Genomic DNA, 26,558 nt, shown 5'->3' on the forward strand with positions numbered 1-26,558 from the left:
AAATTTTTAAAAAAGGGAAATAAAAAGAATGAAGTTGGCCTCCTATCTCACACGATACACAAAAATTTCTCAAAATGGTTTATAGACTTACATGTGAGAGCTAAAACTATAAAACTTTTGGAAGAAAACATAGGAGTAAATCTTCATGATCTTCGGTTAGACCAAGCCTTTTCAGAAACGACATCAAAAGCACAAGTAACAAAGGAAAAAATTGGACTTTATCAAAGTTAAGAACTTGTCCTGCAAACAGCACCATCAGGAAAGTGGAAAGATAGCCCATGGAATAGGAGAGAATATTTGCAAATCATGTATTGAATGGATAAAGCACTCTCATCTGAAATATATGTATATGTAACTCTTAAAACTCAACCATAAAAAAAAAATAATTTTTTTTGAGAGCACCTGAAAGTCCAAGGCATGAACCACCATGCTTGGCCCATCCTAGCACCTTGAGAGGCCAAGGCGAGAGGAGTACTTGAGGCTAGGAGTTCAAGACCAGCCTGGGCAACATAGCAAGACTCCATCTCTACAAAATAAAGAAATAAATAAATAATCCAATTTTAAAATGGCAAAGGATGTGAATGAACATTTCCCCAAGGACCATACACAAATGGCCAATAAGCACATAAAAAGATGCTTAACATCATTAAGTCATTAGGAAAATGCATGTCAAAACCACAATGAGATACCACTTCACATCCACTAGAACTACCGTCATCAAAAAGATAGACAATTAGTGTTGGTGAAGATGTGGAGAAATTGAAACACTCATACATTGCTGGTGGAAATTTACAATTGTGCAGCCACTTTGGAAAACACTTTGACAGTTTCTCAAAATGTTAAACATAGTGTTACCATGACCCGGCAACTGCACTCCCAGCTACATTTCCAAGAGAAATGAAAACAAACACCCACACAAAAACTTTACATGAATATTTATAGAAACACTATTTAAAATAGATAAAAAGTAGAAACAGCTCAAATACCCATCAATAGATAAATAAAATGTATATCCATCCAATGGAATGCTAGTCAGAAATAAAAAGGAACGCAGTACTGATACATGCTACCTACAGTGTGAACGAACCTTGAAAACTGATGTTAAGCGGAAAAATTTCACAAAAGACCACGTGTTGTATGATTCCCTTTATATGAAATGTCCAGGATAGGCAAATTATGAATTATATTAGTGGTTGCCTAGGGCTGGGGTTGGGGTGGGGAGGAATGGGAAGTGACTCCTGATGGTTACAGAATTTGGGGGGGGGGGTGAAAAAACGTTCTAAAATTAGATTGTGGTGACGGGGTGCACAATTCTGTGAACTACTAAGAAACATTGAATTGCACTCTTAAAATGGGTGAATTGTGTGTTATGGAATTATATCTCAATAAAGTTGTTTAAAAAATCAGGTGGTCAGAGAAGGCCTCCATGAGAAGGTGGCATTACATTCTTTGGCAGGGAAATGAAACATTTTCATAGTAAAAATATATTGTACAGTAGCAGAACTCACATACATTTTAATAATAAAACATGGAATGTTAAAGAACCTTGGTGTTCACAGCAACATCAAGTGACCACCAAGTGATCAGACCAGGGTCACACAGTATCAGGGTACCTTCAGGGGAGAGTGGTGTGAAGACCACATGCCACAGGTTTCAAATAGGGAAGGAGAACCATCAGAATTGGACTTTGGAATCATCAGAGTGGAAACAGAACTGGAATGGGATGGATCCTACATTCCCAGGAAGGGAGGGGATGTTCTTGATTATCCTGCTCAGTGCCTTGCTTGTGGGCCTCTTGTCCCCACTTTACAGATAGGAAAACTAAAGCTTGCCGGGACAGATTAATGAAAACAGTAATAAAAGTTCACACACTGACCTCATGGTGAGGCAGTTTGTATGGTGGTTTGATGGGGGAAGAGAGGTGAGAGAAGAGGACAGATTCCAGAGCCTAAGGAGGATGCTCAGCAGGACCTGGTGAGGGCTCTGTTGTGAGTGATAAAGGTGAGAGAAGAGTCAAGAACACTCCCAGGCTTCTGGCTTGTACACCCGGGCTCATGGCTGCACCATTGGCTGGGATGAGGAATGCTGCTGCGCAGTTGGTGGGTTTGGTTGGATTTGAGGCACCTGTGAGACACCTGGGGGGCGCTGTCCAGTTCTTTGTATTGTTCTGGAGCTCAAAAGAGAGGTCTGCACTAGCAGTGGGGAAAGTGGTGTATCAGGGGCCCTAAACTCACATGTCTACAGGAGCCCCACCGATAGAACCCCATGAGTGAGAATTACAGGGTGAAGACCATGGACAACAAGAGAGTGCGTTCCCTCTAGGGGGGGCTGCTATTGCTCAACTCTAGACTGAGGTAGGGCATGCAGGCTTAGCCCAGGAGGGTTCCTGGCATCACCCAGGAAAGAATTCAAGGATGAGCCAGTGGTGTTAGCAACTTTTCTTAAAGCAGCAGTGTGCAGCAACAGCAAAGGTGCTGCTCCTTGTGGGCCAGGGCTACCCCATAGGCAGTATGCCCAGCATAGCAGCTCTGAGTGACAGAGTGAGATCCTGTCTCAAAAACAAACAGACAAACAAAAAGTACTACAAATATACAGAAACCCCGACAGTGTGACATTGGCATAAGAAGGGACATATAGATCAAAGAAATTGAACTAAGAGTCCAAAAAGAAGCCCTTAAAATTATGTTCAATTGATTTCTACATGGGTGTCAAGACAATTCAATGGAGAAAGAATAAAAATAGTCTTTTCAATAAATGGTGTTGGGACCGCTGTATACCCACATGCAAAAGAATGAAGTTGTTATACCCTACAGTTCTGTAATCATATTTATACTCAGTTTTAATTACATGCAAATTAAAGGGCAGATTATGCAGAAATTTTTAGGAAAAGGGTGGTAACTTCCAGGTGATTGCCTTGAAAAGGGGTAGTAAGTTCTGGGTGTTGCCATAGCACTGGTGGGCATGTCTTATAGAGAAGTGCTTTTGCCTCCTCCCTGTTTCCATTCGTCTATAATCTAGTCCTGAGTTTGAGCCCCAGCTCCTGAGTCAAGTCCCGCCTCCTGCCTCAAGACCATTATTGCCATGTAGAGAGTGGTAAGGGAGCATGAATGGAATTTGGAGCTTTACTGCCTGGTTCAAGTCCCAGCTCCCTCACTTACCACATAAGCTGTGTGATTGAGGAGTTACTTTACTTCCCTGTGTCTCGGCTTCCTTGTCTGTTAAATGTGGGTGATGATAATACCTCTGTAGTACCTCCTAGAGAAAAAAAATATAGCACCAAGTGCTATAGTACACATAGCAAATCTGCAAAAGTGCTAGCTATCATTATTATCTGAGGCTTTTGACCCAGCTCTCAGAGAAGCTGGAAATTTGCATTTTTATGTGAAATTTCCTGGCAACTGATTTAAAACTTTATTTACATAGAGAATCAAACACAAGGCATGTGGCGCCGGTGTGCATATGGCTCTTGAACTGCCAGTTTGACTTCCATGAGCCATAGTAAATTAAAGGAGCAAGGGGGTGCCTGCCGCTGACGTTGTGTGATGCCCTGCAGGGTCCCGGAAAGAGAGGCAGGTGTACAGCAAGGCGGTGAACAGGCTGTTCGGCGTGGAAGCCTCTGGAAGGAGAATCTGGATCCGCAGGGCTGGGGGTCGCTGTCTCTGGCGTGACGACCTCCTGGAGCCTGCCACCAAGCCCAGCATCGCTGGCAAGTTCAAGGTGCTAGAGCCTCCCATGCTGGGCCACGACCTGAGACTGGCCCTGTGCTTGGCCAACCTCACCTCCCGGGCCCAGCGGGTGAGGGTCAACCTGAGCGGTGCCACCATCCTCTATACCCGCAAGCCAGTGGCAGAGATCCTGCATGAATCCCACGCCGTGAGGCTGGGGCCGCAAGAAGGTAAGTGTACGCTGGCTTGGTGGAATCAGGCCAAACCACCTCCTTTTTCAGGAGGGTTGTGGAGGTCAGAGGGATTTCCCAGGACTGCATTCATCCCCAGGAAGGAAGGGGACATTCCTGAGCATTGTGCTCAGTGCCTTGCCTCTTGTCCCGACTTTACAGATGAGAAAACTGAGACTCGGAGGGGCAAAACACTAATAACAGTAATGCAAGTCCACATGCATCTGGTGGCAATCTGATGAAGATGTGATTTATAGTTTCTATTTTTTTAATTAGAATGAATATTTACACACCAAATAAATACATGCTGGGGGTATTTCAGCATATATGGAATATGCCATGCATTACTTTTCTAAAATCCAAAAAAATCTGGAGCCCATTTGGCTCCAGGTGTTCTGTGGGAGAGGGCTGGACTGGTAACAGATGGTTTTCTTTGTTTTGGTTTTCGGGTTTTTTTGAGACAGAGTCTCACTCTGTCACCCAGGCTGGAGTGAAGTGGTGTGATCTTAGCTCACTGCAACCTCCACCTCCCGGGTTCAAGGGCTTCTCTTGCCTCAACCTCCTGAGTAGCTGGGACTACAGGCGTGCACCACCACACCCAGATAATTTTTGTATTTTTAGTAGAGAGGGGGTTTCATGATGTTGCCCAGGCTGGACTCGAGTGATCTGCCCGCCTTGGCCTCCCAAAGTGCTGGGATGACAGGCTTAAGCCACGGCACCAGGCCAGAGATGTTTACTAAGTGCTTAAATGTGCCAAGTCCTGTCCCAAGAATTCTGCATGCGACGGCACAATCCCTCCAGCCACCTTGTGTGTGGTACTAGTGCTAGCTCCATCTTTGAAAGGAGAAAACTCACACCAAGAAAGGTGAAGTCACGAGTTCAGAGTCACACAGTCAGTGTGCATAGTTGCAGGACCCAAATCCAGGCAGTCTGGCATGAGAGACACACTCCTGACCAAGACCAGGAAGGGGCAAAGCCAGGGTTCAAAGCCAGGAACGTTGACCACAGTGCACATTTACTCAGCTGATGCAATTGCTTGACTGCAGGTTATGGAATGGTCAGGTCAGCCCACACCAGATATGCTCAACACACCTAATGGTACATTTGCCTAAAATTTATCCTTAGTATTTCATAGCAGAAGAGAATGGTTTCAGTCTTTTTAAAGGTTTTTGTATTTTTTTAACTGACCTTATTCCAACTGTTTCTTTAAAAATATATTGAGGCCGGGCGCGGTGGCTCACGCCTGTAATCCTAGCATTTTGGGAGGCCAAGGCGGGTGGATCACGAGGTCAGGAGATCGAAACCATCCTGGCTAACACAGTGAAACCCCATCTCTACTAAAAATACAAGAAAATTAGCCGGGCATGGTGGCACACGCCTGTAGTCCCAGCTACTCAGGAGGCTGAGGCAGGAGACTCACTTGAACCCAGGAAGCGGAGGTTAAAGGATTTTTTCGTGATCCTTGAACACATAGCACTTCGTGGATGATTTATTAAATGTATCCTCTTTGATTATTCTTGCACTTTTTTCCTAGTCTGTCTGTCTGTCTTTTTGCCGGTATCTCCCTCTCCATCTGTCTCTCCTTCCCTGTCTGTCTCTCTGTCTCTGTCCCTTTGGCTTTTTCATCTGTCTCTCTATCTCTCTCAGTCTATCTCTGTATCTCTATCTCTCCTTTGCCTCTCTCTCCTTTCACATACTTTCTGAATTCTAAGGATTCAATTAAACAAAGAAATTGTTGCTCTGGGCCAGTTTCTGGTAAGTGAAGCTTGTGGATTTTCGCAGGGTGTGAAAATGTATGAAGGAGGTGTCACACTTTTTTAGCTTTTTTTGTCATTTATTTTTCACAAAGTCTAAATCACAAAATAACACTTCATCATAAAATTTTAATTAACACACACTTCCCTCTGGCTTTCAGCAATTTTTTTCATATTAAAAGTAATACATATTCATAAAAATTTGGAAAGCAAAAGAGAAAAATCACCTATGATTCTACCACCCACCTACAAACTGTTAATGTATTTTACTTCCAAATCCTTAATGCCTGTTTGCTTTTTGAAAAACAGTTCTGGTTAAATATTGCAAATAGTCATTAATGCCCTGCTCTTTTCATATTGCATTGTATTTTAAATATTTTTATAAGCTCCTCACAAACATCATTTTAATAGATATTTAAATAAATAGAATTTAACAGATCTTTAAATAAATATATGGTGACCTATGTTTTCTTTTAGGTAGTTATCAGCTTATTGCTATTAAAAATAACACTAAACTTTTGTTTATCTACAGAGTGTCAGGTAAGCAAGTGAACATTTTGATGCAAAAAGAAATCACTTTTTTTCCTCTGGATTTTGGACTTTTGTTAGACTGTATCACAAAAGTGAAATTCTTGGGCCAGGCGCAGTGGCTCACGCCTGTAATCCCAGCACTTTGGGAGGCCGAGGCAGGTGGATCACGAGGTCAGGAGATGGAGACCATCCTAGCTAACACAGTGAAACCCCATCTCTACTAAAAATACAAAAAAATTAGCCGGGCGTGGCGGCATGCGCCTGTAGTCCCAGCTACTCAGGAGGCTGAGGCAGGAGAAAGGCGTGAACCCAGGAGGCAGAGCTTGCAGTGAGCCGAGATCGCGCCACTGCACTCCAGCCTGGGCAACAGAGAGAGACTCTTGTCTAAAAAAACAAACAAAAAAAAAAGTGAAATTCTTTGGCCAAATGATAGACTATTAAAACATATAATTTATTAAATTATTAGGTTTTTAAGTAGTTTTAGGTTTTCAGAAAACTTTGAGTGGGAAGTACAGAGAGTTCCCATACCCCTGTCCACCACCACGCCTCTCCTCCTGTTATTAACATCTTGCTTTAGTGTGGTACATTTGTTACAATTAATGAGCCAATATTGGCACAGTATTATTAACTAAAATTCATAGTTAATATTAGGGTTCACTCTGTGTTGTGCATTCTATGGCTTTTGACAAATGTATAATGACATGTATCTAACATTCCACTGTCATACAGAATAGTTTCACCCCTCCAATATCCCCATGTTCCAGCTATGTGCTCCACCTATTCATCCCTCCTTCCCTTGCCTGAACCCCCAGTGACCACTGATCTTTTTACTGTCTCCACACTTTTGCCTGTTTCATGATGTCATCTAGTTGAAATCATACAGTGTAATTAAGCTTTTTCAGATTGGCTTCTTTCACTTAGCAATATGTATTTAAGGATCCCTTACGGTTTTTGTGTCTTGATGGGTCATTTCTTCTTATTGCAAAATAGTATTCCATTATATGGATGTACACAGTTTATCCATTCACCTACTGAAGGACTTCTTGGTTGATTCCGAGTTTTGGCAATTATGAATAAAGCTGCTGTAAACATCCTTATGCAGGTTTTTGTGTGGGCTTGAGTTTTTAATTTTTTTTTTTTATTTTTTGAGACAGAGTCTCGCTCCGTCACCAGGCTAGAGTGCAGTGGTGCGATTTTGGCTCACTGCAACCTCCGCCTCCCGGGTTCAAGTGATTCTCCTGCCTCAGCCTCTCGAGTAGCTGGGATTACGGGCACACACGACTACACCTAGTTAATTTTTGTATTTTTAGTAAAGACAGGGTTTCACCATGTTGGCCAGGATGGTCTTGATCTCCTGACCTCGTGATCCACCTGCCTCGGCCTCCCAAAGTGCTGGGATTACAGGCATGAGCCGCCGTGCCCGGCTCGAATTTTAAATTCTTTAGATAAATACCAAGGAGCACACTTGCTGCACCTTATGGTAAGAGTATGTTTTGGTAAGAAACTGACAAACTGTCTTCCAAAGTGGCTGTATCATTTTGAATTCCCACCAGGAATATATGAGCATTCCTGTTGTTCCCTATTCTATCCAGCAGATGGTATTGTGTGTTTTGGATTACTGACATTGTAATAGGTGTGTAATAGTATATCAGAGTTTACTATTCACTAATGACATATGACATTGAGCATCTTTTCATATACTTATTTGACATCTCTATCTCTTCTTTGGTGAGGTGTCCAGGTCTTTTGCCCATATTTTAATCGGGTTGTTCATTTTCTCATTGCTGGTTTTTAAAAGGTCTTTGTGTATTTTGGATAACAGTCTTTTATCGGATGTCTTTTGCAAACATTTTCTCCCAGGCTGTGTCCTCTCTTCCCAGTCTCTTCACAGTGTTTTCTGCAGTGCAGAGTTTTTAGTTTTAATAAAGTCCAACTTATCAATTTTTTCTTTCATGGATCATGCCTTTGGTATTGTATCAAAAAAAATTACCGGCTGGATGTGGTGGCTCACGGCTGTAATCCCAGCACTTTGGGAGGCTGAAGCAGGTGGATCACTTGAGATCAGGAGTTTGAGACCAGCCTGGTCAACATGGTGAAACCTCATCTCTACTAAAAACACAAAAAGTAGCTGGGCGTGGTGGTGGGTGCCTGTAATCCCAGCTACTCGGGAGGCTGAGGCAGGAGAATCGCTTGAACCCGGGAGGCGGAGGTTGCAGTGAGCCAAAATCACACCAGTGCACTCCAGCCTGGGCGATAGAGCAAGACTCCATCTCAAAAAAATATATATATATTACCAATCTCAGGTCATCTAGATTTTCTCCCATGTTATCTTTAAGAGTTCTGTAGTTTTGCATTTTACATTTAGGTCAATGATTCAGTTTAGTACATTTTGTAAAGAATGTAAGGCCTGTGTCTAGATTGTTTTTCCCCGTGTGGATATCCAGTTGCTTCAGCACCATTTGTTGACTATCTTTTCTCCATTGTATTTCCTTTGCTACTTTGTCAAAGATCAACTGACTATGTTTGTGCAGGTCTATTTCTGAACTCTCTTCTATTCCATTGATCTAGAGGCATACCTCAGACATATTGCAGGTTTGGTTCCAGACAACCACAATAGTAGGAATATTGCAATAAAGCAAGTCACACAAATGTTTTGGTTTCCCAGTGCATATAAAAGTTATATTTACATTATACTGTAGTCTATAAAGCGTGCAATAGCATTATTTCTTTTAAAAAATATATACACCTTAATTTTAAAATACTTTACGGCTATAAAATGCTAACAATCGGGGCCAGGCACAGGCGGTGCATACCTGTAATCCCAGCACTTTGGGAGGCTGAGGCAGAAGGATCACTTGAGCTCAAGAGCTCAAGACCAACCTGGGCAACATGGTGAAACCCCATCTCTACAAAAAAAATAAATAAAGGAAGAAAACAAAAAAAATTAGCCAGGCATGGTGGTACACACCTGTTGTCTCAGCTACTCAAAAGTGAGGTGGGAGGATCACTTGAGCCCGGGAGTTCAAGGCTGCAGTGAGCTGAGATCCTGCCACTGCACTCCAGCCTGGGTAACAAAGGGAGACTCTTTCTCAAAAAAAAAAAAAAAAAGTTAACCATCTGAACCTTCACTGAGTCATAATCTTTTTGCTGGTGGAAGGTCTTGCCTCAATGTTGATGGCTGCTACCTTAGTTGATAAAGCAGTGGCAGGGTTTGACAGGATTGACTCCAAGTTTGAAAGAAGTTCTACTGTGAGTAAAATGCTATCAAACACCATCGCAACACTACTACCTGACCAGGGTAGTGGTTGCCAAAGGTTGGGGTGGTTGTGGCAATTTCTTAAAATAAGACAACAACGAAATTCGCCACATTGAATGACTTTCTTCCTTTCACGAAGGATTTCTCTGTAGTATGCGATGGTGTTCGATAGCATTTTACTCACAGTAGAACCTCTTTCAAACTTGGAGTCAATCCTCTCAAACCCTGCCACTGCTTTATCAACTAAGTTTATGTAATATTCAAAATCTTTTGTTGCCATTTCAACAACGTTTAGAGCATCTTCACCAGGAGTAGTTTCCATCTTTGAAAAACACTTTCTTTGCTCACACATAAGAAGCAACTCTTCATCTGTTCAAGTTTTACCATCAGATGGAGCAATTCAGTCACATCTTTAGGCTGCACTCTAATTCTCTTGCTGTTTCCACCACATCATCAGTGACTTCCTGCATTGAAATCTTGAATGCCTCAAAGTCATCCATAAGAGTTGGAATCAACTTCTTTCCAACTCCTATTAATGTTGATATTTTTACCTCCTCCCATGAATCATGAATATACTTAATGGTGTCTAGAATGGTGAATCTTTTCCAGAAGGTTTTCAATTGACTTTGCCCAGATCCATTAGAGGAATCACTATCTATGGCAGCTATGGCTTTATGAAATGTATTTCTTAAATAAAAAGACTTGAAAGTTAAAATTACTCATTGATTCATGGTCTGCAGAATGAATGTTAACAGGCATGAAAATAACATTAATCTCATTGTACACCTCCATCAGAGTTCTTGAGTGACTAGGTGCATTGTCAATGAGCAGTAATACTTTGACAAGAATCTTCTTTTCTGATCAGTAGGTCTCAACAGTTGGCCTAAAATATTCAGTAAACCATGCTATAAACAGATGTGCTATCATCCTGGCTTCGTTGTTCCTTTATGGACCACAGGCATAGTAGATTTAGCATAATTCTTAAGGGCCCTAGGATTTAGAAATTTAAATGAGCATTGGCTTCAACTTAAAGTCACCAGCTGCATTAGCTCCTTAATGCACAGAGTCAGCCTCTCCTTTGAAACTTTGAAGCCAGGCATTGACTTCTGTCCCGCTATGAAAGTCCTAGATGGCATCTTCTTCCAATATAAAGCTATTTTTTCTACATTGAAAATGTGTTGTTTTATGTAGCCATCTTCACCAATGATCTTAGCTAGAGTCTCTGCATAACTTGCTGTTGCTTCTACATCAGCACTTGTTGCTTCAGCTTGCACTTTTATGTTATAGAGATGGCGTCTTTCCTTAAACCTTATGAACCAACCTGTGCTAGCTTCAAACTTGTCTTCTGTAGCTTCCTAACATCTCTCAATCCTTATAGAATTGAAGAGAATCAGGGCCTTGCTCTGGATTAGGCTTTGGCTTAATGGAATGTTATGGCTGGTGTGATCTTATATGGAGATCACTAAAACTTTCTCCATATTAGCAATAAGGCTATTTTGCTTTCTTATCATTCCTATGTCACTTTTAGTTTCCTTCAAGAGTAGCACTTTTAATTTCCTTCAAGAACTTTCCCTTTGCATTCAAAACCTTGCTGTTTGGCACAAGAGGCCTAGCTTTTGGCCCATCTTGGCTTTCTATGTGCCTTCCTCACTAAGCTTAATCATTTCTAGCTTTTGACTTAAAGTGAGAGACATGTAACTCTCATTAACTTGAACACCTAGAGGCCATTGTAGGTTTATTAATTGGCCTAATTTCAATATTATTGTGTATCCGGGAATAGGAAGGCCCAAGGACAGGGAGAGAGATAGGGAAATGGCCAGTCGGTGGAGCAGTCAGAACTCACATGACATTTTTTAATTAAGTTCAACATCTTACAGGGCATGGTTTGTGGTGCTAACAAACAGTTACAATAGTAGCCTCAAAGATCACTGATCAAGGGCTGGGCACAGGGGCTCATATATGTAATCCCAATCCCATTCACTTTTGGAGGCCAAAGTGAGAGAACTGCTTGAACCTAGGAGTTTGAGACCAGCTTGGGCAACACAGCAATACCCCATCTCTACAAAAAATTAAAATAAAAAATACCTGCTGGGTGTGGTGGCATGCTCCCATAGTCCTAGCTACCTGGAGGCTGAGGCAGGAGGATTGCTTGAGCCCAAGAGCTGGAAGTTTGCAGTGAGCTATGATCACACCACTGCACTTACAGCCTGGGTGACAGAGCAAGACCTTGTCTTAAAGAAAAAAAAAAAAAGATCACTGATCATAGAAGCAAACACATGCTCTTGGAAAAATGGCTCTTATAGAGTTGCCTGACTCAGGGTTGCCACAAAACTTCAATTTGTAAAAAATGCAATATCTGCAAAGTACAATAAAATGAAGCACAGTAAAATAAGGTATGCCTGTCTTTGTCCATTCTTTCACTAATACCACACTGTCTTGATGACTGTACCTTTATAGTAAATCTTAAAGGTACCTGAAGTCAGGTAGTGCCAGTCCTCTAACTTTGTTCCTCTCCTTCAATAATGTACAATTGTACAATTGTACTGACTACTCTGGGTCTTTTGCCTCTTGACATAAACTTTTTTATGTCATGGTTCTTTAAAAAAATCTTAATTGATATATATTAGTAATACATATTTTGTGGGTACACATATTTTGATACATGTATAGAATGTGTAACAATCGAATCAGGGTAATTGGGATATCCATCACCTTATACATTTATCTGTATCTTTTCTTCGTGTTCGAAACTATACAATTTATTCTAGCTATTTAGAAAGGTACCATAAATCATTATTAACTATAATTTCCCTACTGTGTTATGAAATATTAGAACTTATTCTTTCTAACTATCTTGTACCCATTATCCAACTTCTCTTCATTCCTGCCTCCCACCCACACATAAAGTTTGGAATCAGTTTGTCAATATCCACAAAATAACTTCTTCAGATTGCATTGAATCTATAGATCAAGCTAGGAAAAATTGACATTTTGACAATATTGAGCCTTTCTATCCATGAACATGGAATATCTCTCCATTTATTTAGTTTTTTGATTTCTTTCATCAGAGTTTTACAGTTCTTCTTGTGTAGATCTTGTACATATTTTGTTAAATTAATGCCTAAGTGTTCCATTTTTGGTGGTGCTAACATAAGTGGTATTATGTTTTTAATTTTAATTTCCAATTGTTCATTGCTGGTATATAGGAAAATGATTGACTTCTGTATATTAGTAATCTTATACCCTGTAACCTTGCTATTACCACTCATAAGTTCCAGGATTTTTTGTTTGTTGTTGTTGACAATTCTTTTGGATTTTCTACATAAACAATTATATCATTTGTGAACAAAGACTGTTTTATTTCTTCCTTCCCAATCTGTATACATTTTATTTCCTTGTTTTATCTTATTGCATTAGCAAAGACTTCCAATATGATGTTGAAAAGGAATAGTAAGAGGGGACATCCTTGCCTTGTTCCTAATCATCATGGGAAAGCTTCCAGTTTGTCACCAATAAGGACAATGTTTGCTGTAGGTTTTTTGTAGATGTTCTTTATCAAGTTGAGTAAATTCCTCCTCTATTCCTAGTTTGCTGAGAGCTTTATCAGGAATGGGTGTTGGATTTTATCAAATTCTTTTTCTGCATCTATTGATATGATCATGTTATTTTTTCCTGTTGATTTGATGGACTATATTAATTGACCTTTAATATTGACCCAGCCTTACATGCCTAGAATAAATCCCACTTGATCATAGCATGTAATTTTTTATACATTGTTAATTCAATTTACCAATATTTTGTGGGAATTTTTGCATCTATGTTCATATTGGTCTGTAGTTTTGTTTTTCTTGCAATGTCTTTGTCTGGTTTTTGGCATTAAGGTAATGCTGGCCTCATAGAATGAATCAGGAAGTATTTCTCTGCTTCCATTTTCTGGAAGAGATTGTAGAGAATTGCTATAATTTTTTTTTCTTAAATTCTTGGTATAATTCACCAGTGAACCCATCTGGGATTAATGTGTTCTGGTTTGGAAGGTTATTAAGTACTGATTCCATTTTTTAGTAGATATAGGCCTATTCATGTTGTCTGTTTCTTCTTATGTGAATTTTAGCAGATTTTTTTCTTTCAAGAACTGGTCCCTTTTATCTGGATTATCAAACCTGTGGGCATAAAGTTGTTCATAATATTCCTTTACTCTCTGTTTTTTTCCTAACTCCCCAAACTTGTTACCTTTACTATCCTTTTAATGTCCATGGAATCTGTAGAGATGTCCTCTCTTGCATTTATCATATTAGTAACTTGTGCCTTCTCTCTTTTTTTTCTGAGTTAGCCTTGCTAGAGGCTTATTGACTTTACTGATCTTTTCAAAGAACCAGCTTTTGGTTTTGGTGATTTTCTCTATTGATCTCTGATTTTCAATTTTACTGATTTCTGCTCTAATTTTTATTATTTCTTTTCTTCTGCTTAAGATGAGTTTAACGTGTTCTCCTTTTTATAGTTTCCTAAAGCAGAAGTTTAGATTATTGGATTTAGATCCTTCTTCTTTTCTATCATATGTATTGAATATTATAGACTTCTCTCTAAGCACTGCTTTTGCTGCAACCTACAAGTTTGTGTGTTGGGGGAGGGGTGTTTGTTTGTTTGTTTTGTTTTGCTTTTCAGACAGAGTCTCGTTCTGTCACCCAGGCTGGAGTGCAGTGGCACAATCATGGCTCACTGTAGCCTCAACTTCCCAGGCTCAGGTGATTCTCCCTCCTCAGCCTCCCAAGTAGCTGAGACTACAGGCACGTGCCCACAAATTTTGATAAGTTGTAGTTTCATTTTCATTTACTTCGAAATACTTTTAAATTTCTCTTAAGACTTCTTCTTTGTCCCATGTGTTCTTCTAGAAGTGTGTTGTTTAATCCCTAGGTATTTTAGATTTTTCAGCTGTCTTTCTGTCATTGATTTCCAGTTTGATTTCATTGTGTTCTGGGGGCATATATTGCATAATTTCTATTATTTTAAACTTGTTAATGTGTCATTTATGCCACAGAATGTGATCCTTTTTGGTGAGTGCTCCGTGTAAGATTGAGAAGAATGCGTATCCTGCTGTTGTTGGATGAAATATTCTGCAGATGTCAGTTAGCCCAGCTGAGTGACGGTGCTATTGAGAACCATTGTTCTAGGGAAAGGGGTCTCAGCTTTTATTAGATTGTTAGTGGTGTCTATGAGTCAGAGAACTTCAAAAAGCCCTGATGCAAACATTTTAAAGGGCTACTTTTCTCCTCCTTTCTCCCAGGATCTGAGCTGATGCCCAAAGCTCTGCTCATGTGTATCATATGGTGGCATATGATGGTTCTTCATGCTGGAGACTGAGAATTTACATCTCTAACAAGTTCCCAGGTGACGCTGATGCTGCTGGTCCCAGGACCACACTTGGAGAACCGTGGTCTATCACCATGCAAGGAGTAAATGATATAATGTATATAAAGTATTTGGCATCATTCTTACTACCTAATGAGCATTCAATTTATGTTTATTATCAGTGTTTTTGATATTATTATCAATAATAATATATTATCAATAACATAATAAATCAATCAATAAAATAAAAATAATAATACCCGCTCATGGAATTGTTGTAAGGATTAAATAAGTCAATCTGTGAAAGCGCTTCCAAGTGCAGTACACTTTAATCCCTTAGTAAAACTTAGCTTTTATAATTATAATTATTATTGTTATTTTGAGATAGAGTCTCTCTCTGTCGCTCAGGCTGGAGTGCAGTGGCGCAATCTCAGCTCACTGCAACCTCCGCCTGCTAGGTTCAAGTAATTCTCCTGCCTCAGCCTCCCAAGTAGCTGGGATTATAGGCACAACACCACGCCCTGCTAATTTTGTAATTTTTTTTAGTAGAGACAGGGTTTCAACATGTTGGTCAGGCTGGTCTTGAACTCCTGACCTCAGGTGATCCACCCGCCTTCACCTCCCAAAGTGCTGGGATTACAGGCGTGAGCCACGGCACCCGGCCTATAATTATTATTTATTACTGTTATTGTAATAAAGGTTCTTCCAATAATGACCTACTGAACTAAGGGAGCCCATAAAACAAAATCATACTTTAACACATGAATCACCCTACTGGCATTCAGGAGAATCTACGATATGCAAAGCCCTGGGGTAGCAGAGCGCATGAGCCAAGTTGAGCCCTTTAAGGACCTTTTCCATGAGTTAAAAACTCAGATGCCTTCAGAGTCAGAAAGAAAACAGAAATAAAGGAAGCAGTGGGAGTAGAACAATAGGGAATGAGAGGGCCTGGGAGCAAACCAGAAAGAGCACATTGAACCTAAAAGAAAGAATATATAGTAGTCAGAAAAAAAAAAAAAACAAATATGGTCCAGGCATGGTGGCTCACACCTGTAATCCCAGCACTTTAGGAGGCCAAGGCGAGAGGATCATGAGGTCAAAAGATCGAGACCATCCTGGCGAACATGGTGAAACCCCATCTCTACTAAGAATACAAAAATTAGCTGGGCATGGTGGCATGTGCCTGTAGTCCCAGCTACTCAAGAGGCTGAGGCAGGAGAATTGCTTGAACCCAGGAGGTGGAGGTTGCAGTGAGCCGAGATCATGCCACTGCACTCCAGCCTCGCGACAGAGCGAGACTCCGTCTCCAAAAAAAAAAAAAGACTGAGGTTTATGGTGATCCATGCTTACAAGAAAAGAACACCTAGGAAGGATGTTTCTGACTGGTGAGAGGGAGACAGAGATGGCCAGGACCACAGGAGCTCAGAGAGCATGAGAGCACTGGGAGGAGGTGTCAGTGAAGACTTCCCTCAGTTGGTGGGGCTGACCAGGACTGGGCCTTCATGGAGGGGGGCATTTGGAAAAGTTGTAGGGAATTGGCCTCACAGGATTGGAAGATTGAGGCATGCCTTTGGTCTTCCTCTTCTCTGCTCCTAGCACATAGTAGGTGCTCAATAAACAGAGAAGGATGGGATGAATGGATGATGGGCTGAGAGATTTTCATCTTGAATAAGTAGGGAAAGCTTGGAAACATCTCTGGGGGCTCTTGGAGAAATTATCTGGTATTGTGGTAGCTCCCTGACCTAAATTTGACTCCCACCTCATCTTAATTTCTTGGTTTACTTCCTATATGAGTTTGAACAGGAAAATACCCACTCTGGGCCTTAGGTTTCTTCATCTGAGAACCGAGGAAAATAAAGCCTGTCTCAGAATGGTTGCAAGGACCAGAGAGAAAGGAGCTATTAGTTGTGCATTCCCTTCCTTCTTCCCAGTGCCATTGAAGAAAGACATCAAGCCCCAACTCCCACTTCTGCTTTCCCTTCCAGAGAAGAGAATCCCAATTACAATATCTTACTCTAAGTATAAAGAAGACCTGACAGAGGACAAGAAGATCCTGTTGGCTGCCATGTGCCTTGTCACCAAAGGAGAGAAGCTTCTGGTGGAGAAGGACATTACTCTAGAGGACTTCATCACCATCAAGGTGACCTCAGCCTGCATCTACCATGCTGTTCCTAGTGGCACCCACTCCCCAGAGCTGGGGGAGGGCGTCAGAAGCTGGGGGGGTTTGTGCCTTTAACTCCAGCTTTAGCTCTCCAGGGTGGGAGGAGTGGGTTGGACATAAGGGGATGGGTGCAATAGTGGCACTCAGCAATGGGGTATATGGAGGTGGGGGTGGACATGACTAATGATCCATCCTCTAACTCAGCCAGGACCATCGGTTTCCTGGAGGGAGGAGGGGTAGGCGCGATGGCTCATGGGTGTTGTCCCCTTCAGGTTCTGGGCCCAGCCATGGTGGGAGTGGCAGTTACAGTGGAAGTGACAGTAGTCAACCCCCTCATAGAGAGAGTGAAGGACTGTGCGCTGATGGTGGAGGGCAGCGGCCTTCTCCAGGAACAGCTCAGCATCGAGTAAGTGCCAGCCTGGGGGGCTGGCAGGGAATGGGGCTCTCTTCCTTGTGGATGAGCCAGAGAGAAGTTGCCAGGGATGGGGGTGTGAGAGAGATTCTGGACACCCCAGGAACCAGCCCACAGACTATACATATCAGCCTTCATTCACTTATTTATTCCTTCATTCATCCAATCATTCATTTACTCAAATCATATAACTCATTCACTCAGTCATTCACTCATATCATTCATTCATACTTTCATTTATTTATCCATTTATTCACTCACTTTCATTCATTTGCTCTCTTTCACTCATTCATTCATGCATTCTTCAATTTGCTTACTCTTTATTCACTCATTTGTTCATTTTTTCATTCACTTATTCCTACATTTATGCTTCACTCATTCATTCACACATGTTCCCATTTGTTCATGGATTCGTTTATTTACTTATTCATTGTCAATCATTCATTCACTCCTTCATTCTTCCATTCATCCACTTGCAACTCATGTGGTCCTTGATTATACTGACCTGTACTCTGGCCCATGTGTAATTGTTAGGAACACTAAGATGGACAGAAACAGTTTTGCCTGGAGAAGGGCTCTCAGATACAGATGGCCCTTCACATGAGGACAGTGTGATTTGTGAAAAAGATCTTGTCCAAGGTCTGGGGGAGCAAAAGCAGCCCTTAAGTGAGGGTGGGGCCAGGAAGAAGTCCCAGTGGAGCTGGTGTTTGAGCTGAGCCTTAAATGATGAATTGAGATTTTCAGGTATCAAGAAGTAAGGACGGTTTGCCAGGCAAAGGTCTTGGTGTCAACACCTGATGGCTGGTGTTGTCAGGGAAGGTCTCCTGGAAAAAGAGAACTTGATTTGGGCCTTGGGTGGATTGGAATAAGAAAGGCATCCTAGGTGGAACAGAGCAGATGAAAGCCCAGAGGGGGGAAGTTCAGGGCACAGACAGAAAACTAGCCTGGCTAGATGGGAAGAGTGTGGGTGGTAGAAGAGAAAATTAAATTGGAAATATGTTTTTTTGGTTGTTGTTTTTGTTTGTTTGTTTTTGAGACAGAGTCTCACTCTGTTGCCCCAGCTGGAGTGCAGTGGTGCAGTCTTGGCTCACTGCAACCTCTCCCTCCCAGGTTCAAGCGATTCTCCTGTCTCAGCTTCCTGAGTAGCTGGGATTACAGGTGTGCACCACTGCACCCGGCTAATTTTTGTATTTTAGTAGAGATGAGGTTTCACCACGTTGGCCAGGCTGGTCTCGAACTCCTGACCTCAGATGATCCACCTGCCTCAGCCTCCCAGTGTGCTGGGATTACAGGAGTGAGCCACCGCACCTGGCCTGCAAACATGTTGATAAGGCTTGAATGTCAAGCCACAAGGTGAACTTGATCCTGAGGAGCCTGGGGAGCCGTGGATTGGCAGGCCAGACTCAGAATGGCAAGAGGACTGACAGTCTGCCTTTCTCCCCTCCCCTTCCTCCAGCGTGCCTACCCTGGAGCCTCAGGAGAGGGCCTCAGTCCAGTTTGACATCACCCCCTCCAAAAGTGGCCCAAGGCAGCTGCAGGTGGACCTTGTAAGCCCTCACTTCCCGGACATCAAGGGCTTTGTGATCGTCCATGTGGCCACTGCCAAGTGATGGATCATGAGGGACTGAGAGGGGTGGATTTGGCCCCTGTCCTCCTCCTGCCCATTCTTTGTCTCTTCCACATGGGAGCCAGGAGGCCTCAGTTAATCCTGCCTCAACCTCTGCCCTACTTTGTAAACTTAGGCAAGTTCCTTCTCCTCCTGGGCCTCAGTTTACTCTTCTGTAAAATGAAGTGTTGCACTCAGTAATCCTTAAACTTTTGGACAACCATAGATGATGTAAGAACCGAGGGAGCCTCTCCAACCTTCATCTCTCATCCCCATGGCTGGGAGGTTGACAGACCCGAGCATCAGAGAAACCCTGGCCCACTCAGCTCTGCCATCTTCCACCCTGCCACCTCGCTGTCACCCTGGCTGACCCTTGGACTCTCCTTGCTTTTCAAATGCCCTGGCCACATCAAGAGCCAAGGATCCTCCCCACAGTCCTGACAGAGAATCCAAAAGTATCAGAGCTGGAACCTAACCATCCCTCAACACTCCCATTACAGAGAAGAAGGAAACTTACAGAGGCCACAGGGTGAGCTAGAGGCAGAGTGGAGGCCCATGTGTGTGCCATTTATACCTCCTAAGTCCCGATCCTAAAAAGCATTAGATTTTAAGCAAAGGGAGATTTTCCCTCAGTGAAGACACAGGCCCAGGATCTGAGGGGCGATTGCTGCCTAGGATAATCTTAAGAAGATAAAGGAAGGGCCCAAACTGGATTGCATTCCTCTAAAATCTGCAGCCCCAAATCTGAAGAGGGCCAGTGACTAACAGCACAAACAACAGCAAACACCTCACAGGGCTCAACTTACACAATTCTGACCGAACAATTAAAGTTGAGAAAATGTTTCATTCAATGGGTGCCAAAACTGTTGCCCCCAGATCAGCTGCAAACAAGAGCAGAGCTTTCCGTGGAAATTGTAAACAAGGGATCAAGATCCCGAAGCATTTCTTCAAAGAATTGTAACAGGATGGAACATGGCTTTACCAATACAGTCCTAAAGACAAAGCACAATCGAAGCAATGGCTACCAAGAGGGGGAAATGGTTCAGTCAAAGCAACAGTGGACCAGCCGGCCAGGCGCGGTGGCTCACACCTGTAATCCCAGCACTTTGGGAGGTCGAGGTGGGCGGATCACTTGAGGTCAGGAGATCAAGACCTGCCTGGCCAGGTGAACCCCATCTCTACTAAAAATACAAACATTAGCCAGGTGTTGTGGTGTGTGCCTGTAATCCCAGCTACTCGGAAGACTAAGGCAGGAGAATCACTTGAACCCAGGAGGTGAAGGTTGCAGTGAACCGAGATTGCACCACTGCACTCCAGCCTGGGCAACGGAGCAAGACTCTGTCTCAAAAAAAAAAAAAAAGTGGACCGGTCAGGTGCAAAGCTTGTAGAAACTGTTTTTTGGGATGCTCAAGACATTTTGCTTGTCGGTTTTCTGGAGAACCAAAGAGTAACAACACCTGCTTATTACGAGTGTTTTGATAAAGTTAGCTGAAGCTTTCAGAAAAAAACCCAGAAAAGCTTCACCAGAGAGTCCTTCTCCACGACAATAATGTTCCTGCTCATTCCTCTCATCAAACAAAGGCAATTTTGTGAGAGGGTTGACTGGAATTCATTAAGCATCCACCATACTGTCCTGATTTGGCTCCATCTGACTTCTTTTTATTTCCTAATCTCTTTTTTTTTTTTTTTTTTTGAGACAGAGTCTTGCTCTGCCGCCCAGGCTGGAGTGCAGTGGCGCGATCTCAGCTCACCTCAACCTCTGCCTCCCGGGTTCAAGCGATTCTCCCGCCTCAGCCTCCTGAGTAGCTGGGATTACAAGCGTGTGCCACCACGCCCGGCTAATTTTTGCATTTTTAGTAGAGATGGGATTTCACCATGTTGGTCAGGTGCGTCTCAAACTCCTGACCTCAAGCGATCCTCCTGCCTCAGCCTTCCAAAGTGTTGGGATTACAGGCATGAGCCACTGGGCCCAGCCTGTTTCCTAATCTTAAAAACAAAATCTTTAAAGGGTGCCCGTTTTTCTTCAGTTAATTGTGTTAAAAAAAAAAAAAAGACTGTGTTGACATGGTTAAATCCCCTGGACCCTCAGTTACTTAGGAATAGACTAAATGGCAGGTATTATTATTTACAAAAATATCTTGAACTTGACAGAGCTCATGTTGAGAAATAAAGTTTCTACTTTTTATGTTTATGTTTTAATGTTACTTTTCCATGAACCTTTTGAAGTCCCCTTGTAGGTGTTTAGGGAGGGGAATGTAGCTGAAGGTGGTGAGGGCCACCTGCCACATAGCTCTGTTTCCAGTACAACGCTCTTGCCCTTGGTGCCTTCGAGTAGCATTTTAATGGGACAAAAGTGGCCTCCCTGGTTATTCCAGCCCCAGTGGAAAGCAGAAGCCGCCCCAACAGCCAATGAGAAAGCCCTGCTTGTGAGTGGGAGAGGTAGAGAAATTGACAGAAGACAGCTTAGAAGTCCAAGGGAGAGTGTGAGTGGGAATGTGGTTTTGGAAATTACAAAGAAAAATGTGCAGGTAGGGAATTCCTTTCAGCTGGTAGGGCAAGACCCTGACCATGTGCTTAACACAGGAAGGGCAGAACAGGTAGTTCAAGACTGAGAAAAGCCTTAGAATTGGCTGGCCATGGGACACTCAGAAGGACACCAGCAACAGGGCTTTACTGAGTCTCAGGACTCCTGCTTCCATTGAGTCCCCCTGTCTCTTAAACACTATCTGAAACTTCATGAAGGCCCTTGACACCAAGTTAGGTCAGGGATCTGAGCTTTCACATACCAGAGGGGCCTCCAAACCTTTAGAACAGAGGTTGGCAAACTTTTCTGCCAATGACCAGATAGTAAATATTTCAGGCTTTGCAGGCCATAGAGTCTCTGTTACAACTACTCAACTCTGCTGCTATAGCATGAAAACTGCCATACTTAGTGCATAAACAAATGAGCCTGGATGTGTTGCAATAAAGTTTTACTTACAAAAACAGGTGGCAGGCCAAGTTTGGCCCACAGGTTGTAGTTGACTGACCTTGCCGTAGGACAACACATTGCTTCCAATCTTGCTCCAGGACTGAGCTCTGACACCAGGCTACACCTTGCCCTAGCATCGAGCCTAAACCTGAGCCAAGGCCAAGCCCTTAACAAGCCTCGGACTGAAACTAGGATGAGGCTCCAGCTTGTGCTCGTGACCCCAAAGACGGCCGTGACTCAGAGGCTAACTAGGTCATGACCCTGATGCCAGATGGGCCCCAGACCTTGGCCTCACACTAAGCCCTGGATCCTACCATAGCTAAATCCTGGCTTGACTCTGGCTCTAGACAGAGCTTGGGCTCCACGTGGAGTCCTGGTCCAGTACCAGACAGTACCGACCCCAGACTGAGCTCTCATGCCAACCTCAGATGACTGAGCTCCAATCCTAAGTGAACCCTGACCCCAGACTAAGCCCGAACCTCAAACAGAGCTCTGATCCAAGACTGAGCTCTGAGCCTACACTGAGACCTGATTCAGGCTCTGGCTGACCCCTGAACTCACTCAGGTCCCAGATGGATCTGGCCTTAGCTTTGGATTTCCATTCTCATCTGAGTTTCCCCATATCCCTGGTCACTGGGTGAAGACAGCCTGTCCTTGAGCCAGGGATCTGCGCTCACCTTCCTTTCCCTTTGAGACACTTGGGTAGAAATATTTGAGAAGCATGGTGACCCCCCTGGATTTTTTAGCTCTGTCACTCTGTGAGAATCTGCATTCATAGCCCAATCCTTATGGAGCGACTGACCAGGGATCCCTCCTCTCATCATGCGGGTTCCTTTCTCCTATTATGCATCTGCCACAAGTGAAAGGAACACTGTAAGCATCTTCCCTGGAACAGGAGGCCATCTGCCACTCCACGTATAAAGATGCTCCTTCCCGCAGGGAGGCTCCACGTGTCCCAGATCCATTTCCCCTTGTGATGGCTCCAGACACATCCTTCCAGCAAATGCCAGCTATCTGTATGCCTCGAGCTCGGCTGTTGCAGGCTGAGTTCCTAGAAAGCTGATTCTGAGATGGAGTTTAGGATGCAGGATGTTGATCTAACAGTGATCTAGGGTTCAACACCCATGGAAGGGAGTGGGGGAGCATGAGTGTGCAGAGGAAGGAATCGAACCATGGTGCAGGCCCAGAGATAGCCTGTCCTGACCCCAGGCAGCTCTGGAGCTAGAATGGCCTATCTGAGTTGTCCAGTTTGGGCCAAGATGGCTGGGCTTTCCTATGCCTGCCTTTGTTAGCGATTCACCCAGGAAGGGACATGACCTTGGCTAAGACAGCTCTCTACAGCAGGGGCCAGCCCTGGAGCAGCTGACAGCTAAGGGTCATCTGCCTGCAGCACTCACAGCAGTTTGAGGAATGAGCCCTCCATTGAGGGGGTTCTGAGCCATGTGTCTCCATGTCCCCCACCTACATTCTGTCAAACCCCAAGAACAGAGCAGTGACATGATAGGTTGCCTAGGCTCGTGCTCACAGAGATTATCCTCTAGCTGGTGGAGACAGGTGTTCATCACATTTGAAAAGATATGAAAAATACAGTGAGAAATACAAGTAAACAAGTAGACAAATTCGTGAATAAATAAGCTAATTAAATTTAGTGAATAAGTGCCAAAAAGAAGATAAAAGTGACAGCCACCTCTCCCTGAGTGGTGGAGTTAAGATAGCCCTATAGCCTTACTTTATTTATTTATGTTTTTTATTTATTTATTTTAGACAGAATCTTCCTCTATTGCCCAGGCTGGAGTGCAGTGGTGCAATCTTACTTCACTGCAACCTCCACCTCCCGGGTTCAAGCAATTCTCCTGCCTCAGCCTCCCGAATAGCTAGGGGTACAGGCACACACCACCACACCTGGCTAGTGTTTGTTTGTTTGTTTGTTTGTTTTTCTTTTTTTCTTTTAGTAGAGACAGGGTTTCACCACATTGGCCAGGCTGGTCTCAAACTCCTGACCTCAGATGATCTGCCTGCCTCAGCCTCCCAAAGTGCTGGGATTACAGGCCTGAGCCACTGCACCCAGCCAAGATAGCCCTACTTTGGATGGAGGCACCAGAGAAAGACTCTCTGAGGAAGTGACGTTTGAGCTGAAATGTTAATAATTACAATAAAAATAATGATTAAAATTTAACTTAGTTAACGTGCTTCCTACCTGCCAGGAACTGTTTCAGGTGCCTTACACCTATTTATTTAATTTTCATAGTAACGTAAGAAAGTAGGTGCTATTATTCTTTCCTCTTTCCAAATGAGGAAACTGAGGCACAGAGAAATGAAGCCACTTTATACACAATTGCAAGCACATAAGATGCAGACCTGATATTTGAGCTCAGGCCAGCAGAGACTGTCCTCTCCGCTGCTATGCTTTACTGCACATGCAGAGCCAGCTGTGCAAAGACGGAGAGAACTGTGTTTCAGGCAGAGGCCACATGCATCAGTTTGGGGCCTTTTCAATAACACTTATGGGGAATCACTTTTCCCACAAAGTCTTGTGGGGAGGGTGACCCGTGGCTCCCATCTCCCACTGCCCCTTTCTCTTCCTTAGGCTGAGGAAGACAGATCTTTCTGCAGCCTGCCCTCAGTACAGCCCACAGTGGGTGCCTTGACTCAGATGGTGCATATGCTCCCTCCTGGAACTTGGATCTTAAGAGATCAGAATGGAGAGAAGCTTCAGAAGGCACTAAAGGTGGTGGTGGTGGTAGTGCCCTAGGCAGTCTTCTAACCAGGTGATTTCTGCTGATACAGTTGCTGTATTCCAGTTACCAATTGCTGGGTAACAAGCAAATGATAACTTAAGCCTTAAAATAATGATAGTTATTGGCCAGGCATGGTGGCTCATGCCTGTAATCCCAGCACTTTGAGATGCCAAGGTGGGCGGATCACCTGAGGATAGGAGTTCCAGACCAGCCTGACCAACATGGAGAAATCCCATCTCCACTAAAAATACAAAATTAGCCGGGAGTGGTGGCACATGCCTGTAATCCCAGCTACTCGGGAGGCTGAGGCAGGAGAATCACTTGAACCCGGGAGGTGGAGGTTGTGGTGAGCCGAGATCACACCATTGCACTCCAGCCTGGGCAACAAGAATGAAACTCCGTCTCAAAAAAATAAATAAATAAAATAAATAATAATAATAATGACAGTTTGTTCTTGAATCTGCAATTTGGGTGGGGCTTGGTGGGGACAAGTCATCTCTGGTCAACTCAGCAACAGCTGGGGTGGCTCAAAGACTGGAGGCTGGAATCATCTGAAAGCTCATTTACTCACCTTGCTGGTGGTTGACGCTGGCTGTTGGCTGAGCCCTAAGCTGTGGCTGTCAGCTAGAACACCTACCCATGACCCCTCCACATGGCCTGGGCTTCCTCACAACATGGTAGCTGGGTTGCAAGGCCAAGCATATCCAGAGAGAAGGAGCACCAGAGGAAAGCCATCTCGCCTTTATGGCCTTGTGTTGGAAGTCACCTAGTGTTGTTTCTGCCACATTCTATTCATCAAGGCAGCTCCTCCCAGTTCCAATAGACTGCAACTCATCATAAGAGGTGGAAAGATTCTGGAAGAGCTTATGGGACTGGAAATATTGCTGTAGCTATTTTTGGAAGTATACAATCTGCCATGCTGTTTCCTGCTGCCTGCTTCTTGACCCTCTGGAAATTAATGGGATCCAGTGTTCCCTAGGTCTGGTCTGTCTCTTAGTATCCTCTCCAATGTGTGCTTAATTTCTACTCCCCATCCCCTTTTGCTTAAGCCATCAAGAGTCACTTCCTTTTCCTTGTGACAAAGAATGCTGACCCATACAGCACTGACGTAGAGATGAGCCAGATGCGTCTAAGGAACAGAGTGAAGCCAGTGTGCCCGAAGTGTCCTGCAGCTTATCACCCTCTTCTTGACCTGGTCAGTTGCCCTGACCTTTAATCCCTAGACGGTAACCAAAGAAGGAGATTCAGAGGCCAATAACTTGACTCTGACCACTCCAATATCTTCTCATTGAAGTCATCTTTGTAGTTTCTTCAGGCCTAAAGGGATGTCCTTCAGAAAGATTCCTGGCCTCCTATTCCTTGGTCAGCCAAAGGAGGTTATGACTGTTTCTTATGTTGAAAGAAGCAAAGGAGACGAGTGGTGTAAGTGATGGTGTTTCTTGTATTGGAGTTCTCCAGAGAAACAAAACTAACAGCATATGTATATGGACAGAAGAGATTGATTACAAGGAACCGGCTCATGGAATTATGAAGGCTAACAAGTCCCAAGATCTGCAGTTGGCAAGCTGGAGACCCAGGAGAGCTGGTGGTGTAGCCTCACTCTGAATCTGAAAGCCTAAGAACCAGGAGAGTCAATGGTGTACTTTTAGTCGAAAGGCCAGCAGGCTTGAGATCCAGGAAGAGCCAACGTTTCAGTTCAAGTCTAAAGGCAGGGGAAAGCTGAGTTTGAAGGCAGTGAGGCAGGAGGAATTCCCTCTTACACAGAAGAAAGTCAGCCTATTGTCCCATTCAGGCCTTCAGTTGATTGGATTAGGCCCACCCACATCAGGGAGGGCAATCTGCTTTACTCAAAGTCTACCAATTTAAATGTTAATCTCATCCAAGAAAC

The 26,558-nt window shown here is 43.5% G+C and overlaps 1 protein-coding gene across 2 annotated transcripts in view; it reads left to right on the forward strand.

Annotated features, from left to right (window-relative positions):
• The window catches only part of TGM6 (transglutaminase 6), a 51,853-nt gene extending 32,778 nt beyond the window's left edge, over positions 1-19,075 (forward strand). The window contains exons 10-13 of one of the 2 annotated variants that reach the window (NM_198994.3): positions 3,554-3,895; positions 16,768-16,922; positions 17,216-17,349; positions 18,812-19,075. In NM_198994.3, the coding sequence (NP_945345.2) occupies positions 3,554-3,895; positions 16,768-16,922; positions 17,216-17,349; positions 18,812-18,965 (785 nt within the window). In that variant the 3' untranslated portion in view covers positions 18,966-19,075. The remainder of the gene's footprint in view (positions 1-3,553; positions 3,896-16,767; positions 16,923-17,215; positions 17,350-18,811) is intronic. The other variant, NM_001254734.2, reaches the window with a different exon arrangement.

This window comes from Homo sapiens, chromosome 20, assembly GCF_000001405.40.
Source record: "Homo sapiens chromosome 20, GRCh38.p14 Primary Assembly".
NCBI lineage: Eukaryota > Metazoa > Chordata > Mammalia > Primates > Hominidae > Homo > Homo sapiens.